Source organism: Homo sapiens, chromosome 2 (genome assembly GCF_000001405.40).
Source record: "Homo sapiens chromosome 2, GRCh38.p14 Primary Assembly".
In the NCBI taxonomy this organism is placed as follows: domain Eukaryota; kingdom Metazoa; phylum Chordata; class Mammalia; order Primates; family Hominidae; genus Homo; species Homo sapiens.
Genome location: NC_000002.12, coordinates 73200556 through 73213899, shown reverse-complemented (window position 1 = coordinate 73213899; position 13344 = coordinate 73200556). Strand labels below are relative to the sequence as shown.

The 13344-nt window shown below is 50.3% G+C and overlaps 1 protein-coding gene across 1 annotated transcript, besides 2 other annotated features; it reads right to left on the bottom strand.

The window, feature by feature from the left end:
• Window positions 1122-1191: a silencer, noted in NCBI's record as "silent region_11636". NCBI's record gives its function as "represses an Ori minimal core promoter by ATAC-STARR-seq in GM12878 lymphoblastoid cells {active_cell/tissue: GM12878}" and the evidence as "EXISTENCE:reporter gene assay evidence [ECO:0000049][PMID:35858748]".
• Window positions 1387-11326, bottom strand: NOTO (notochord homeobox). Its single transcript, NM_001134462.2, has 3 exons — window positions 10852-11326; window positions 5286-5500; window positions 1387-3129 (listed from the first exon to the last, which is right to left on the bottom strand). Exons 1-3 carry the CDS (start codon window positions 11231-11233, stop codon window positions 2971-2973), a joined length of 756 nt encoding a protein of 251 aa, NP_001127934.1. The 5' UTR covers window positions 11234-11326; the 3' UTR covers window positions 1387-2970.
• Window positions 9932-10483: an enhancer, noted in NCBI's record as "H3K27ac-H3K4me1 hESC enhancer chr2:73430545-73431096 (GRCh37/hg19 assembly coordinates)". NCBI's record gives its function as "activates a minimal SCP1, AML or CMV promoter by ChIP-STARR-seq in naive H9 embryonic stem cells {active_cell/tissue: H9 hESC(naive)}" and the evidence as "EXISTENCE:reporter gene assay evidence [ECO:0000049][PMID:30033119]".
• Window positions 11327-13344: the final 2018 nt, after the last annotated feature.

Here is a 13344-nt window from a genome sequence, read left to right as displayed (position 1 = left end):
AGGTTCAAGTGATTCATTCTCCTGCCTCAGCCTCCCGAGTAGCTGGGCGTACAGGCGTGCGCCACTAAGCCCAGCTAATTTTTGTATTTTTAGGGGTTTCACCATGTTGGCCAGGCTGGTCTCGAACTCCTGACCTCAAGTGATCCGCCCGCCTCGACCTCCTAAAGTGTTGGGATTACAGGCGTGAGCCACCTCGCCCGGCCTCCGATGCATGTTTCTATGTATGTTGTCTCTGTCCACACAGTGGCCTGTCTTCACTGAGTAAAGCGCTCTTTGGACCCAGCCCTAGAGTGGGACAGCAGAAGGCCAACTTACTCCTATCCTGTCTAGCTCTCAGCCTGAAGGGAAGGACTAGCTTATACCCCGGAGCTCACTCACCCCACTTGAAGAGTCCAGGACAAGATTTCCTTTCTCGGTAATCCCTCTGGCAGCAGAACAGTCCTGCCAAAGGTCAGGGTGGACTTGTGCCTCTGTCAGATTCTTCAATGGCTTAGGGACCTTGCAACCGGGGGTAGCGGAGGAGTCCATAGGGGACCTCAGATCTGAGAACCTCTGAAACTGGATACAGAAGTGAGTGTGCATATGCACACACTGTCGTGAAAAGGGGGAGGGGCCTGTTCTCTCAGGACCCCAAGAAGCTGCAAACCACAGACCTATGGCATTTGTCCCCACAGCTAGGCCTGACTATCAAGCCTTGTTTTGTTTCCTTGTCCCCTGATTTTGTGAGTTTTGTTTGAGACAGGGTCTCGCTTTGTCGCCCATACTGGCATGGGGCGATCTCGGCTCACGGCAGCCTCCAGCTCCCGGGCTCAAGAACAGACTGGGCAACGTAGTGAGACCTTGTCTCTCCAAAAAATAGAAAAATTTGCCGGGCGTGGTGATGCGTGGGAGGATCACCTGAACCTGGGGAGGTCTAGACTGCAATGAGCCGTGATCAAGCCACAATTATCTATCAAATAATTATAGATAGATAGATAGTTGGCAGGGACAGAGAAAGGTTCTTGAAACTGACCCTGCCTCTCCTCAAGCTTGCAACCTGGTGTCAAGGAGCGAATAGTCCACGGACTTGGGGGAGATAGATAGTTGGCAGGGCCAGAGAAGAGGCTCTTGAAACCGACCCTGGGTCCCCTCAAGCCTGCAGCCCGGTGTCAGGGAGCGAATAGTCCACGTACTTGGGGGCAAACCTACCCGAGAGCAGCTGGGGGCCGTGCCCTCACTCACCACCAGGTGGCAGGGCAGGCTTCCTTCCATCCCTCAGCTCAGTCCCCAAGAGCCATTCTAGAATCTGAATGGTCTGTGCTACAGAAATCAGCTCTGCAAATCCTGGCAGCAGGCTTCTTTCAGAGAAATCGAGCACATTCTTGAGAAGAAAAAGGAGCCATGAGTCAGAGTCATGAAAGGGGGAAATTATAACTGTCCTGTGAAAACACAGCAGAGTTTATGACAAAATGCCAGCCTTGGCATACACAAATTATTCTATAAAAAGATGGGGCTTTGGGAGGCCAAGGCAGGAGAACCACTTGAAGCCTGGAATTCAAGACCAGCCTGGGCAACAAGTGGACGTTGTCTCTACAAAAAATGTTAAAAATTAGCCAGGCGTGGTGTCACGCGCCTGTAGTCCCAGCTGCTTAGGAGGCTAAGGTGGGAGGATCACTAGAGCCCAGGAGGTTGAGGCTGCCGTGAGCTATGATTGCACCACTGCACTCCAGTCTGGGTGACAGAGCGAGTCCTTGTCTTTGCTGCTGGGCCTGAGCTTCTTCTGAGAATGGTAACAGTTCAGACAAAACAAGAAAACGTTGGGAAACTTTGTGAAGTGGGCTAAACAGTCTACCTTCTCTTCTTTGCTCTCAACTCCTTCTGATGGTGAAGAGTCTTCTATGCCCAGATGCTTATTCAAAGAGGTTCCTTCTCCACAGCCAGGCCAGGAAAATATTAATTGCTGGTACAGGTATTACTCCCCCAGGTGAGGGGAGCTGTGATATTATGAAATATATATTTGGTCTTCATCTCGATTTCCTGGCATAGAACTCCTAAAATCCCTAGAATCTCTGAAGTGATGTCTTTTCATATGCTAATGAGTTGACTGATGACTGGTAGACCTTAAGACTCCATAAAAAACAAAAAGGGCAGGGTTGGGCCGGGTGGTGGCTCACACATGTAATCCCAGCACTTTGGGAGGCCGAGGTGGGTGGATCACAAGGTCAGCAGTTCAAGACCAGCCTGACCATATGATGAAACCCCGTCTCTACTAAAAATATAAAAATTAGCCAGGCATGGTGGCATGCGCCTATAGTCCCAGCTGCTCGGGAGGCTGAGGCAGGAGAATCGCTTGAACCCGGGAGGCGGAGGTGGCGGTGAGCCAAGATCGCGCCACTGCAGTCTGTCTCAAAAAAAAAAGAAAGGAGGGGCTGCCATGTGGAATGAGCCCTGAATCTGTGGGGTCAGACACTACCTGCAGGTAGATCATGTCAGAATTTGCTGAACTGGAGGTTGGAATGTGGGGTACACCCCTATACGTTTGGTCACAGAAGTGTTCTGTGTTGATTGTTGTGGGGTGACAGCAGAAGAAAAAAACTTTTTTTTTTCCAGTTGGTCTTCTCTACTCAGGGGCCTACAAGCCTTAACAGTAACCACACACTTTGCACTGTGCATGGCACATTATTGCTTTACAGACATCTTCTCACCCCTGGGTGATCTAAGTTATGAATGCACCCATTATACAGATAAAGAAAAAAGGCTCGGAAGTTCCATAGGTTGGCCAAGGACATAGCTGAAGGCCAGAGTCTGTGCCTCCAATCATTACATTATTCCAGTTTCCAGGAATCAGTATAGAAAAGGGGGTCCCTGCTTGACAGCTCAGATTCTTCTGGTTGAGGAGGCTTTTCGTTGAGGTGTGAGGCAGGGAGCTCCAGTGGGTACCCCCAGGAGGAACTAGTCCAGGCAGCCTGGCTAGGGCCTCTGTCCCAGTCTTCAGCCGTCCACTCCTGACTCGGCATCATCACTCTGGATACTGGCGATGGAGCTGCTGGAAGGCTCATCCAGGGAGGCAGCCTCGGCAGATGTAACTGCTGCCCTCAGCTTTTGCTGCTTCTGATACTTGACCCTGCGGTTCTGGAACCAGACTCTCACCTATAATTGGAGAGTGGGCAGAGATCAGAATGTGACCATCAGGTCCCACTGCTTCCTAATTCCTGGAGTGAACACCCCTCTCTGCCTGGCCAATATTTGCTCTTCCTTCTCAGGGAGGTACCTCCTCCAAAACACCCCTTTCTACAATTCCAGACACCATTCATTCATCTGAGTATTTACTGAGTTTCCAGTATGTGCTAAGCACCATCCTAGGTGATGCTGATACAGTGGTGAGCAACAGAGGCAAGCTGCCTGCCCTCGTGGAGCTCATGAGCTAGTGAAGAAACACTGGCAAGAAACATGTAAACAAACAAAGAGCTATGTAAACACAAAAGGGGGTACAAACAGGGGTTTGGGCAGAGGAGGCCTCCCTAAGGAGCCAGCATTAAAGCTGAGGCTCAAAGAGAGAGAGGCCCACCTGATGGGGACAGAGAAGAGCAGGTCTGCAGGGCAGGGAACAACCTGTAGGAAGGCTCTGAAATGGAACCAAGCTTGGAGTGTTTGAGGACCAGGAAGGAGGAGAGCACGGATGACAGTGAGAGGAGAAAGTCAAGGGAGGGAAATGGGAGAGGTCAGCGGGTGCCAGATCACCCAGGACCTGGAAGGCCATAGATAAGGAATGTCACCCATGAGGCTTTTACGTGGGCCCACATAATCCTATTTACATCTGAAGTGCACTGTGCACCTAGCTGCTGTGTGAAGCATGGATGGCAGCAGAAGCAGGAAGACAGGAGGGAGGCTACTGCAGCGGCCCCGGGAGAGCTGGGGCGTACATTAGGGGTGACAGAGAGAAGTGAAGCCACTCCAGCTGTATTTTGGAGGTAGAGATGACAAGGCTCAATGATGGTTGGAAGCGGAGGAGAAGGAGGAATCTAGGATGATTGGGTTTTTGAGTAACCAGGTGGACGGTGGGGTCATATATGGGAAAGGAACATATTTGGGCAAGAAAAAAGTCAGGAATTGAGGTTTAGACTTGGGTTTGAGATATGTGCCCATGAGACATCTAAGTGGAATCACCAAGAAGGTAGTTAGAGATATAAGTCAGATGAGATGGTTGTGCTGAGGATACAAATTTGGGAGTCATTGGCTTATAGATGGTATTTTAAGCCACGGGAATAGATGAGACCAGCTGGGAAGAGATTTCGAGGTCCCCAAGGGAAGAGTAGCCTGCCAAGGAGGCAGAGCTGGGAGGAAAACTAGACAGCATGGTGTCTGGAGGCTATGAGGAACATGTTTCAATAAGGGATGGGGTGGCTGACTGTCCAGTACTAAGAGCTGCTGAGTGGTGGACTGAGCTGAAGAAAGGAAAGTGTCATATTGTTGGCTCTGGCAACATGGAGGTTATTAGAGACCTTGCTGAGAAGTTTTGATGGAATGGTAGGGAAAAGTCATGTTGGAATGTGTGAAGCAGTGAGTGGGAGGCGAGGACACGGACAAAGTGAACATGGCAAGTTGTTGAGAAGTTTGCCTGTAAAAGGAGCAGAGAAATTATATAATAGCTAGAGAGGAATATAGGGGTCAAAGAAATATTGATTATATTGACTCTTTAATATCTACTTAATTTTTTTCTTCTTCTTCTTTTTTTTTTTTTTTTTTGAGACGGGCTCTCCAAATGTTGCCCAAGCTGGAGTGCAGTGGCGTGATCTCCGCTCACTGCAACCTCTGCCTCCCAGGCTCAAGCGATTCTCCTGCATCGGCCTCCTAAGTAGCTGGGATTATAGGCACCCAGCTGATTTTTTTGTATTTTTAGTAGAGACAGGGTTTCACTATGTTGGCTGGGCTGGTCTTGAACTCCTGACCTTGTGATCTGCCCACCTCAGCCTCCCAAAGTGCTGGGATTAGAGGCGTGAGCCACCGCACCTGGCCACATCTACTTAATTTTACTGGCAGGTCCTTATTTAGCATGGAAATCCTTTATTATCAATTTTTAGACTAATAATCTAAGTTAACATTCCAAGTTGTTCACATTATGTGACTTCAAATGGGACTTTTTTTTTTCATTATATAGAGTGTGCAAAAAGTCAGGGCCTGTCCCCTCAACAGCCTGGCACAGGGAAGAGGGCCCATATCTTCCTCCCACCCTCCTTTTAGGGCCTTGCTGAGGTAGTGTTTGTCCCCAGGTGCAGCCCAGGCCCAATAGGAGTCCCTACTCCCACCTGGTTCTCTGTAAGTTTGAGCCGAGCTGCCAGCTGGGCTCTCTTCTTCCCCACCAGATTGTGCTGTTTTGCAAACACTTTCTCCAACTCTTCCAGCTGCTCCAAGTTAAACATAGTTCGGACTCTCTTTTGCTGTCTCTCAGTGTCCTGTAGGTCCTCCGTTGGGGCCCAGTCTGGGAAGGCCCAGAGTCCTGAGCAGTGAGCCAGCTCCAACCCTAAAGAGCAACCAGCAGCAGGGGAGGTTATCCAGCAGCAGGGGAGGTTAGCCAGAAGCCCCCTGCACTCCCATCTGGGCAAAATGAGAAGGCACACACAGCTCTGCTACCTTGCCTTCCCCTTGGCCAGGTAACAGTGCAAGAAGACAGTGGAAAGAGACTGTGCAGAAATAACAGGAAACAAACAAATGGGAAAGAAGGGACAATGCAATGAGACTGTCTGCCACCACTACTCTCTAGCCAAGTGGCTTCACTTCTGGCCCCTAAGAGGAGTTGCCAAACCTCCCTTCTCTTTGCCTTCCTTTCCTCTCCTTGACTGCTTCTGGCAACGCCATGGAATGGGCAGAGAAGAGACCCCCAGGGGTTCACCCTTTTAATTCACTGAACAAATATTATACTTTTTGAATGTCTACTGTGTGTCATGCATGGTTTCAGGACAAAACAGAAAATCTCTGTCGTTATGGAGCTTACATCTTAGAAATGAGGTCAGAAGAGATAGAAGTCAGAAGAGAGGGTTGAGCTGAGGATACAAATTTGGGAGTCATCACTGAGCACGTTGGCTCATGCCTGTAATTCCAGCACTTTGGGAGGCTGAAGGGGGCGGATCGCTTGAGATCAGGAGTTCAAGACCAGCCTGGCCAACATGGTGAAACCCCGTCTCTACTAAAAATACAAAAATTAGCCAGGCATGGTGGCACATGCCTGTAATCCCAGCTACTCAGGAGGCTGAGGCAGGAGAACTGCTTGAGTCCGGGAAGCAGAGGTTGCAGTGAGCCAAGATAGAGCCCACTCTACTCCATCCTGGGTGACAGTGCAAGACTCTGTCTCAATTAAAAAAAAAATTGGGAGTCATCAGCTTATATAGATGGTATTTTAAGCCACGGGAATAAATGAGACCAAGCTGTGGGCCAGTGGAGATGCATCAACCAAGAGCAGTTCCTAAGTCAAATCTTGATGGGGATGAGGGAGTGAGCCATTGGGCTATCTGGGGGTATAGTATTCTAGGCAGAAGAATGGCAAGCATAATGCTAAGGCCACTCAGCCCCCACTAGCCTTGGGGAGTCCTCAGGGCTGGCAGACAGACTGCCCCAACAAAGGGAGTGTATCTGGGGTCCCGGCTGCTTAGGACTCCAACCACTGGGCCCACTAGGCTTACACTGTGCCTGCCAAGGTAGACCAAAAGATCAGGAAAAGCCCATCAGACATACAGCCTGGTGTATCTAGTCAGCCTTGTTTCAGAATCAGAAATTGACCTTTGGAGAAGAAAGTAGGCTGTACTGTGTGTTCCTTAAGAGCTCTAGTTGAGGCCGGGCATGGTGGCTTATACCTGTAATCCCAGCACTTTGGGAGGCTGAGGCAGGCGGATAGCCTGAAGTCAGGAGTTCAAGACCAGCCTGGCCAACTTGGCGAAACCCCGTCTCTACTAAAAATACAAAAATTAGCCAGATGTGGTGGTGGGCACCTGTAATCCCAGCTACTCAGGAGGCTGAGGCAGGAGAATCGCTTGAACCTGGAAGGCGGAAGTTGCAGTGAGCCAAGGTTGTGCCACTGTATTCCAGCCTGGGTGATAGAGTGAGACTCTGTCTTAAAAAAAAAAAAAAAAAAAAAAAAAGCTCTAGTTGGAATCCTAGCTCTGCCACCAATTACCAGCCAGAGGACCTTGGGCAAGACAATGTACTTCTGTGAGCCTTGATTTCCTCACATGTAAAATGGTGATAATAATCCCTACTTCCAGAGATGTCAGGATTTTAACATGGTGCTGTCTAGGCACAGTGGCTCATGCCTATAATCCCAGCACTTTGAGAGACTGAGATGGGCCCATCGCTTGAGCCCAGGAGTTTGAGACCACCCTGGGCAACATGGTAAAACCCTATCTCTACAAAAAATACAAAAATTAGTCAGGTGTGGTGGTGCACAACTGTAGACCCCGCTGCTTGGGAGACTGAAGCAGGAGGATCACTTGAGCTCGGGAGGCAGAGGTTGTAGTGAGCCAAGCCGAGATCACTCCTTGCCAATAGAGTAAGACCCCGTCTCAACAACAACAACTACCACAACAACAAAAACAAAAGCATATGATGCTTACAGGGTGCTTAGCACTGTGCCAGGCACAGAGCAAGAAGAAAGTCAATGGTTATTATAAAAATTAAAACAGAAGTGATAATCCAATGGGGAAGAGGGATTATTTCCAGATCTGGGAAAAATTAAGCTGGATCCATACCCAATACCTTGCACTAAAAAAAATCTAAATGGAGGAAATATTTAAATGTAAAAAGGTAAACCCACAAAAATTTAGAAAAAAATGGGGAAGTTATTTTATGACTTCACAGTGAGGAAGTTCTTTCCAAGTATCATATAAGATGTGGGGCCAGGCACAGTGGCTCATGCCTGTAATCCCAGCAGTTTGGGAGGCTGAGGCAGGAGGATCACTTGAGCCCAGGAGTTCAAGATCAGCCTGGGTAACATTGTGAGATTCCATCTCTACAAAATAAATGTTTTAAATTAGTCGAGTATGGTAGCGCATGCCTGTGGTCCCTGCTACTCGGGAGGCTGAGACAGGCATTGTGAGATTCCATCTCTACAAAAAAAAATGTTTTAAATTAGTTGAGTATGGTAGCGCATGCCTGTGGTCCCTGCTACTCAGGAAGCTAAGGAGGAGTGCTTAAGCCTGGAACATTGAGGCTGCAGTGAGCCGTGATCGCACCACTGCACTCCAGCATGAGTGACAGAGAACCTGTCTCAAAAAAGAAAAAAAAAAGGATTTGTAAAAACACATCAAACATAAAAATTAAAATTTTTTCTATGTAACAAAAGAATACCGCCATAATCAAAGTCAAAGGCCAATACACAGAAAAACATTTGTAGTTCATTACAGTTAAAGGGCTAATTTCTTTTTTAATTTTTTGAGACAGTGTCTTGTTCTGTTGCCCAGGCTGGAGTTCAGTGGCTTGACCTCGGCTCACTGCAACCTCTGCCTCCCAGGCACAAGCAATCCTCCCACTTCAGCCCCCGCCAAGGTGCGCACCACCATGCCCAGCTAATTTTTGTGTTTTTAGTAGAGACGGGGTTTTGCCATGTTGCCCAGGCTGGTCTCAACTCCTGAGCTGAAGTAGTCCACCCGCCTTGGCCTCCCAAAGTGAGGGAGTTACAGGGGTGAGCCACTGCACCCAGCCAGGGCTAATTTCCTCAATAGAAAAGAGCATCTACAAATAGATTGTTTTAAATAACCAACTATACATATGGGCAAAATACAAGAACAGTAGTTCACAGAAAAAGAAATACATCACGAGGTCAGGAGATCAAGACCATCCTGGCTAACATGGTGAAACCCCGTCTCTACTAAAAATACAAAAAATTAGCCAGGTGTGGCGGCATGTGCCTGCAGTACCAGCTACTCGGGAGGCTGAGGCAGGAGAATGGCGTGAACCCGGGAGGCGGAGCTTGCAGTGAGCCGAGATTGCACCACTGCACTCCAGCCTAAGGACAGAGCAAGACTCCGCCTCAAAAAAAAAAAATAAAAAAATAAAAAAAATTAGCCGGGCATGGTGCTGGGGCTTGTAATTCCAGCCACTCCAGAGGCTAAGGCAGGAGAATCACTTGAGACCGGAAGGAGGAGGTTGTAGTGAGCAGAGATAGCGCCACTGCACTCCAGCCTGGGAGACAGAGTGAGACTCCGTCTCAAAACAAAACAAAACAGAACAAAAGAAAACAACTAACTTGAAAATGAGGCAACTGTAACATGAAGTAGTAAACTGTAATTCAGACCTCAGGTGTGTGAAGAGCTCAGAGAAAGGTGACTGGGAGTGATGGGCACAGCTCCCAGATCCAGTGGTATTGAATTTAGATGGGGCTGCGAGTCCAAGGGTTAATGCACTGCTGAAATGGGGTGAGGAAATGCAGGATTGGGGTGGGTGCCACGGAGTAGGAACCCGGCAAGACTGTGTTACAACTATCTTTGTATGGGTTGATAAGGCTTGGACTAACTTTGCTCCTGTTTTCTTCGTGGGGACATGGGGAAACATGAACCTGGCAACCAAAAATGGCAAAAGCACGTGTAGGTGGATGTTTAATGCTAGAAGGCAAAGTTCCCTCTATAGTTACTTTTTTTTGTTGATTTGTTTGTTTGAGACGGAGTCTCACTCTGTTGCCCAGGCTAGAGTGCAGTGGCGCAATCTCGGCTTAATGCAACCTCAACCTCCCGGGTTCAAGTGATTCTCCTGCTTTAGCCTCCTGAGTAGCTGGGATTACAAGCGCGCGCCACCACGCCCTCCTAATTTTTTGTCTTTTTTTTTTTTTTTTTTTTTGAGACGGAGTTTCGCTCTGTCGCCCAGGCTGGAGTGCAGTGGCGCGATCTCGACTCACTGCAAGCTCCGCCTCCCGGGTTCACGCCATTCTCCTGCCTCAGCCTCCTGTGTAGCTGGGACTACAGGCACGCGCCACCATGCCCGGCTAATTTTTGTATTTTTAGTAGAGACGGGGTTTCACCGTGTTAGCCAGGATGGTCTCGATCTCCTGACCTCGTGATCCGCCCGTCTCGGCCTCCCAAAGTGCTGGGATTACAGGCGTGAGCCACCGCGCCCGGCCAATTTTTTGTCTTTTAAGTAAAGATGTGGTTTCACCATGTTGGCCAGGCTGGCCTTGAACTCCTGACTTCAGGTGATCCACCCGCCTCGGTCTTCCAAAGTGCTGAAATTACAGGCGTGAGCCACCGCGCCCAACCTTACAATTACTTTCTCATGAGATTTAAGTGCCTGGCCCTTAAGCACTACTTAAGAGCATTGCATGCACGCAGGCTCAGAGCGAAGTGTGTAGCTCAAGTTCACAGACGTGAGCAGTGGAGGCGGTAGTGGGGTGTGAGCCTTGACCAGCTCCTAACAGCTCCTCGCTCAACAGCACCGCCCGGAGCGTCCACTTCCCCCTACCCCGTAAAAAAAAAAAACAGGGCCATTGGTTCGGGTCGAGAGCCGCTTTGGGAAGCGTCTCTGTCACTAAGCGCTACCCCGGGGTGTGCGAGGGAGTCAAGGGACGCGGAGACCGGGAGCAGGGCTGGGTCCCCTTGCAGCCCCAGCGCTGGCCTCCTGCCCACCGCATTCAGGCGCTGCGCCGCCCTCACACCCACCCTCTCCCACCTCAGCAGCGTGCGGGGGAAGCCTCGCGCCGGGGTCTTTTTCAGCAAGACTGTCGCGGTCCTCGGCTTCAACTGCAAGGTAAACGGTGGCAGAGCCCCTTCCCACTCCAGCCGTGTGTGATTCTCACACTCAGTGCCCTCTCCTGCACTGGGGCGCCGGCAGTGGCGACCTAGGCTCTCCAGCCCCCGCCCAGTCCCCCGCGTGCGGGCGCCGGGACCGCAGTACCTGTGACGCCGAAGCCCAGCAGGCCGCAGACGGGAGCCACGCGCGGCCCTGGCACAGGGTAAAAACCTACGCTCAGGTAGGCGGGCAGCCACGATGTCGGGCAAGCCCAGGGCAGACCCCCGGTGGCGCACAGGGAAGCAGCGGTCCAGAAGGCCGGGTGGACGCAGGCGGAGCCCGACGGCTGGGAGGCCGCCGGCGCGCAGGGGTCGGGCCTCGCCAGGATGGCCTCGACCGAGAAAGGGGACTCGAAGCGTCCGGGAGCGCGGGGCGTGTTCGGGCCAGTAGGGGACCTGGGCGCCGGAGAGCGGCCAGAGCGCGGAGGTCGGACCCGAGAGCCCGAGGGAGCGGGTGGCGGGCTGCCTCGCGGCCTGGGGCTAGGCATGACGCGGCCGTTGCCCGGACGGACGCAAGGAAGGGAGCTCGGGAGAAGTGAGAAGATTCTGCAAAAGGCAGCGAGCAAGACCGGTTGTCTGGGAACCTCCTGGCGCTCGGCGAAGGCTCTTAAATTTGGCGGGGCGGGGCATGGGGCGGCCTCTCCCCACTGCGGTCCGGGCGGGGCCCCCAAAGCCTGTGAGCGCCCGCTCTGTGCGAGGCAAGGTGGGCACAGCACCAAAGAGTGTGTTCCCTCCCTTCCTCCGCTTTTAAAAATGCCCACCCTGGGGCGGTCGTGGGGAGGACTCTGAGCTCGCTGGTGATCCTGGGCGAAACACCCAGCCACCGGGCTCCGTCTTTCTCCTTTGCTCACTGAAGAAGGGATGCCCGTTTCCCCGGGGCCTTGCAGAGGCGGAGCTGTGATCTGGAGAGCGGTAGGGCAGTGCCTGCGGTCTTGGCCTCAGCTGACCCGCGCCGTCCTTGACGCAGAAGCCTCGGCCAGATTCACCTAGGACCGCGCGGACTTTTTGTTTGTTTGTTTTAAAATGTAAATATTTTATTTATAAGCACAGTGATAAGTACATTTTCCATCTGGCCTCAGCCCTTTAGTTTCCCTGCCTTGAGATGCGCTGTGATTACCAATTTCGTTCTTTCTTTAATATTTTTTTTGGCCAGGTGCAGTGGCTCATGCCTGGCATCCCAGTACTTGTGTGGGAGGCCGAGGCGGGAGGATCGCTTGAGCTCAGGATTTGATTTGATTTGATTTGAGTTGATTTAGGGGTAAAAGATATGGCCACTATGTCTCTAACCTTGGACTTTTAGTATATAATTCTGTGTTTCCATACATAATTATCAGTTTTCTGTTGTGTCATTTATTCCTTCTTCAGACTGTAAATTCCTGAGCATAAGCATTAATATCTCCAATTTACATATTAGTAAATACAGCAAGAGAGGTTAACAGAACTGCCTTGTTTCAAATCCCCTAGGTATGTGGTTTTAATTTGCATTTATTTCCCTGAAGACCGTTCATTGTGAGCATCTTTTTACATGCTTATCAGCCACTTGGATATCCTCTTTTGTGTGAAGTGCCTGTTCAACTGGTTTGCTTATTTTTGTATTGGGTCACTATGTTTTTCTTATTGTAAGAGTTTTATGTATAGATAATTTGGAATCAAGTCCTTCGTTGTAATATACATAGAAGCAGATAACCTCTGTCACTCTGTGGCCTGCCTTTTCATTCTTTTAGTAGTCCTTTTTTTTTTTTTTTCTGAGATGGAGTTGCCCAGGCTAGAGTGCAGTGGCACAATCTTGGCTCACTGCAACCTTTGCCTCCCAGGTTCCAGCGATTTTCCTGCTTCAGTAGCTGGGATTACAGGCATGTGCCACCACACCCAGCTAATTTTTGTTAAGTATACCAAAAATAAAGCCAAACGAATAACAGACTTTATTTTTATTCATTTATTTATTTATTTAGAGATGGAGTTTCACTCTTGTTGCCCAGGCTGGAGTGCAATGGCACTCGGCTCACTGCAACCTCTGCCTCCTGGGTTCAAGCGATTCTCCTGCCCCAGCCTCCTGAGTAGCTGGGATTACAGGCACCCGCCACCATGCCCAGCTAATTTTTTGTATTTTTAGTAGAGATGGGGTTTCACCATGTTGTCCAGGCTGGTCTTGAACTCCTGACCTCAGGTGATCCACCCGCCTTGGCCTCCCAAAGTGCTGGGATTACAGGCGTAAGCCACCGCACCCAGCCCTACAACAGACTTTAAAAAGACCACTGAGATGGGTTAGTACATGAACTAGGCACTTTATAAAAGGAAATATCTGAATAGCTTAAAACCATATGTGGCTGGGCGCGGTGGCCCATGCCTGTAATCCCAGCACTTTGGGAGGCCAAGGCGGGCAGATCACTTGAGGTCAGGAGTTTGAGACCAGCCTGGCTAACATGGTGAAACCCCATCTCTACTAAAAATACAAAAACTAGCTGGGTGTTGTGGTGGGTGCCTGTAATCTCAGCTACTCGGAGGCTGAGGCAGGAGAATTGCTTGAACCTGGGAGGCGGAGGTTGCAGTGAGCCAAGACTGCACCACTGCACTCCAGCCTGGGCGAAAGAGCGAGACT

What these genes read in the sequence shown, in the direction of transcription:
- NOTO (NM_001134462.2), bottom strand. Translation starts at nt 11,233, where the DNA reads ATGCCTAGCCCCAGGCCGCGAGGCAGCCCGCCACCCGCTCCCTCGGGC. An exon ending in GCTGGGCTTCGGCGTCACAG is followed by an intron (nt 5,501 to 10,851) that starts GTACTGCGGTCC and finishes GTTGCTCTTTAG; the next exon opens with GGTTGGAGCTGGCTCACTGC. An exon ending in TCAAACTTACAGAGAACCAG is followed by an intron (nt 3,130 to 5,285) that starts GTGGGAGTAGGG and finishes CTCCAATTATAG; the next exon opens with GTGAGAGTCTGGTTCCAGAA.